The 4,470-nt window shown below is 40.4% G+C and overlaps 1 pseudogene; it reads left to right on the forward strand.

Annotated features, from left to right (window-relative positions):
- Positions 3,761-4,267, forward strand: SNRPD2P1 (small nuclear ribonucleoprotein D2 pseudogene 1; annotated as a pseudogene).

Raw genomic sequence — 4,470 nt, forward strand, 5'->3', positions numbered from 1 at the left:
CTAGACCTTCCACAAGCATTTATGTCTTTCTCATACAAGCCCAAGAAGATGAACTTAATTCTGTAAATGGACTTCGGAAAGATAATAGTTGCTAATAATTGTGCTTTTGAACAATTTTATGATCTCTAGTCCATGCCTATCTTAAGTATATTAGAGCAGCATTTTCCAGAGTATGGTACATGGAACACTAGTCCCTGGGGATGTTCTGTTAAAAGGGTGTGGCCATACATGTTTGGGAAGTGGCACGTGTTATATCCTGTTCTTTGAGACATATATCATGAATGTTATCCTACTAAAAGTGTTGAGAAGTCTTATAGTAAATGAAACTTCAAAACCAAAAGTGTTTCTCAAACTTCTTGATGTAATACCTATAAAAATTCTGCAGGAAAGTGTTTCAAAGAACAAATCTGGGTAAATGCAGTCACAGAGCATAGTTTATGTCAGGCTTTCTGTTTAAGTTGTTAGGCTCAGTGAGAGACTGATAGTCATAAAGTCTAGCTGGAAATAACGTGTGCTTTACAAACAAACATTTTCTCTTGATACTGCACTCCTACAACTCACAAAATCCCTCTTGCATCTGTATCAAAGATTTCTTAAAGTTTTATTTATGATTTCCTCACATTGAGAGAATAAATGAAAGCAGTTACTAATGTATAGTAATTTTCCTCCAGAAAATTATTCAGATATAATTTTGTCTTGGGAAAGGAGAATTAAAACATGTATTGAATATATTTTAATCAGAAATGCACATTAAAATAGAATAACTTTGTCCTGGTTAGCATGACCTGGTCATAAAAATGTTGATTCTTAGAACTGGTAAATTTCTCATGAAGAAAGATACAGCTGTTTAGCCAGTAATCTATCCATTGTTTATTAAAAAGTAATGAAAAGTAAGCACCTGTTTCCTGTCTTATAATCTCAGGGAAGAGAGATTCTTGGAAGCTCCAATGGGCACATTATTATGTGGAGGACAAGGAGAGAACTATAAAATGACTGAGCCATATACACAAATCTGGGACTGCTGGTTGTTATGGAGCAAAGTTTAAGCCTATAAGCCATAAGCTTTTAAGCATATAAACCATAGATATTCAAACAAACTCAGTAGGCAAAATAAAAGAAGGCGGAAGTGAAACACAGGAGAAACATAATTTTATAGTGCTGGTGATTTTGCTGCCTGCTGCAGTCAGCAAGTGTGTGCCCTGGAGAAAGAATGAATGGGAGGTGTGAATCTGCTTTTCCCTGATTCCCTGAGTGCATCTTATAGCGTGAGCATGTCACTGTGTGAAGGTGATTCAAGTGTTCAGGGTTTTGCATACCACATACAGTGTGGCCTCTAAACATCAACCAGCCATTTCAACTGGACCTTGACTGCAGAATCAGTGATTTGTTCCTTTAGACTTATTAAGATATGGTATATCAACAAGGTAGTGCCTTTCCAAGGGATTTTTAAGGATAATTTGGCTATAAGTAATTTTTACCCTGTGCACAGGCTTCAGAGCTAACCTCTACAGGAACTGAATCACTGCTGAACTCAGGCATTTTGTTTTCTTAATGCATCTAGCTGCCATCCTATTCTTCTGATTCCCTTTTTAAGGTAGCAGCCTTGGTGGGAAACTGAGTCAAGTTAAAACTTGACTCAAGGTCATAATAGCTGCATTTATCAGCAGCAGCCACATCCATCCTAAGGAAGAAAATGTCCTGGCTACACAGGTACCCTTTCCTGAATCTGGGATGGGATTATGGTAAGCATGGGAAGTTGGTACCACTTTTTTGTGTCTATTACACACAACATTATTTATTAACTGCTTGATTCAGCCACATGGCTTGGATTGGGAGACCTTGTGGTGAACTGTTTCCACCAACATAATTGTAGTTAACTTAAGTGCCATTATACAAGAGCTGGCAGTGTTTTTTGTGCAGAACTCTATGGAAACTGAAATGAAATTTTAATTCTATTAATAAAAAACAACAAGTGATAACATATTTGACTAACACATCAAATTGATTCATAGCTATAACCTTACTGTAATTCACCCTGGTGGTATCTGCTTATAATAGTAAAACAGATAACAGCAACTCTGAAATCAGTGGTTTTATGTGTGTACAATCACTGGCTGTGGGCACAGATTATTGTATCATTGTGTATCATACGCAGTCATTTGTTTTGATTAAGTACTTTAAAATGTCAAGTTTCTCTGCACAGATGCACATGGAGCTGTTGTTATTTCTGGGATGAGGATCTAAGATTTGGGGAAACGTTACATTTTTTTTTATCACATGCATCTACCCCTAGTTAAAATAATTGACAATAAAAGAGCTACAAGTAAGGCCACCCTTTCCTTGGTGCTAAGCCACTAGGAGGGAATGGGGAAGGTCCAGGAGCTAGAAGGCCAGACAGAAGATTCCTAGAGAAACAGACCCACCCTACCATGGCTGTTGGAGCCTCAGAGAAGCTCACCTGGGCCAGAGGCTCGGGATGCCAAGAAGCTTACAAACGGTAGGTAACATAAGTCCATTCCTGAACCCCACCAAGTAGATGATCTGAGGGATGCCAAGAAGGAAGCTCCTTTCTCCTTGGTTTTGGCTTTGTTTTGGAAACAGAAAGCAGTGAAATGCACGTTTAGGTCTATGACTAACTGTCATTAAGCACTTGAACTTCATTATTCCTCTTATCCTCCCTTTCCTTTCCTTGCACTTTTTGTGTTGGAGTTACTGGGCAGTGCAATGGGCTTTGTGTAGTATGGGAGGGGACAGAAAGTGGAGTAGCAAGAGGCACAGATTCTCTTTGAACTGAGGGAGCTGAACGACTCCTTGGATGGACAGTAGCTCTCTCTGCAAGTCTGCTTTTATTCGGCGCTGCTGGCAGAATAGAGTCTTGTTCAGTTTTCACCTTGATAGATTTTTCTTTCTGCTGTCTCTGCATGTCTCTCTTCACTGAAGGTCTATGATATTAGCTCTATTATTTCTTCAGACATATTTTTTCCCCCAAGACTTCAGGTAGAAATTCAGGCAGCTGCAATCCTGTCTCTGTCATTTCTGATGATTGATTGAACTTGTCTTCACTTTCCACCTTTGGTTTCTACCTATTTTCTTCAGACTTATTCTACTTATTCTCTTCCCTTCAAACAGATATTGAGGGCTTTGTGACCATGCCAAGGAGAAGAGGATGAAAGATGTGCCTACATATGCTGTGGTCTAAATTGTATCCCTCCCAACCCTGCCCCAATTCATGTTGAACCCCTAACCCTCAGTGTGACTATATTTTGGAGACAGGGCTTTTAAGAGACAACTATAGTTAAATGAAGCCAAGGGGGGTTTGGGGAGGCATTGTTTTAATCAGATAGGATTGGTGGCCTTACAAAAAGAGGAAATGAGAGATCTCTCTCCACATGCACTCACTGAGGAAAACCCGTGTAAGCCCTCAGGAAGAAAGTTCTGTCTGCAAGCCAGGAAGAGGGCCTTCACCAGAAACTGACCATGCTGGCACCCTAATCTCAGACTTCTAGCTTCCAGAACTAAGAGAAAATAAATTTTTGTTATTTAAGTCACCCTGTCTGTGGTATTTGTTTCAGAAGCCTGAGCTGACTAAAACAACATAAAACTCACATTCATGAAAATTGTGGACTCCATTCCTAGCTGTTGATTTTTCACCTACATAGATCAGTAGTGGGTCATCATTACCCTGGGCGGCTGCATCTTCAAATCCAAAACATTTGAAAAGAGAGGCAGCATGAGTTTTCATTATGAAAATAGATAGTATTCAGGCAGCAGCAACGCGGAGGAAACGGGAATGAACCGAGAGCGTAGTGACCATCATGAGCCTCCTTAACAAGTCCAAGAGTGAGATGACCCCAGAGGAGCTGCAGAAGCGAGAGGAGGAGGAATTTAACACGGGTCCACTTTCTGTGCTCACACAGTCAGTCAAGAACAACACGCAAGTGCTCATCAACTGTCGCCACAACACGAAACTCCTGGGCCACGTGAAGGCCTTCCACAGGCACTGCAACATGGTGCTGGAGAACGTGAAGGAGACGTGGACTGAGGTACCCAAGAGCGGCAAGGGCAAGAAGTCCAAGCCAGTCAACAAAGACTGCTATATCTCCAGGATGTTCCTGCACGGGGACTTGGTCATCGTGGTCCTGCGGAACCCACTCATCGCCAGCAAGTAGGGGCCACCTATCTGTCGACAGAACTCACTCCGCTGGCCTATGAAGACCGCTGCCATTGGTGTTGAGAATAATAGAGCTCTGTGTTTTTTTTCTAGTGGAAAAAAAAAAAAGGAAAGAAAATAGATAGTATTTTGAGTAGAAATGTGGCTTTCGAGACAGGCTATTTCTTTACAACAATTTTAATTCTAGTTCTGACTCCACTATATACAAACGATGTGACCTTAGTAAGTTACTTAATCTGTTTAATTCTCAGATAATTATTCTGTGAAATGGGAATAATTGAGTATCTAATACATAGAGT

Source organism: Homo sapiens, chromosome 10, assembly GCF_000001405.40.
Source record: "Homo sapiens chromosome 10, GRCh38.p14 Primary Assembly".
Classification (NCBI taxonomy): Eukaryota; Metazoa; Chordata; class Mammalia; order Primates; family Hominidae; genus Homo; species Homo sapiens.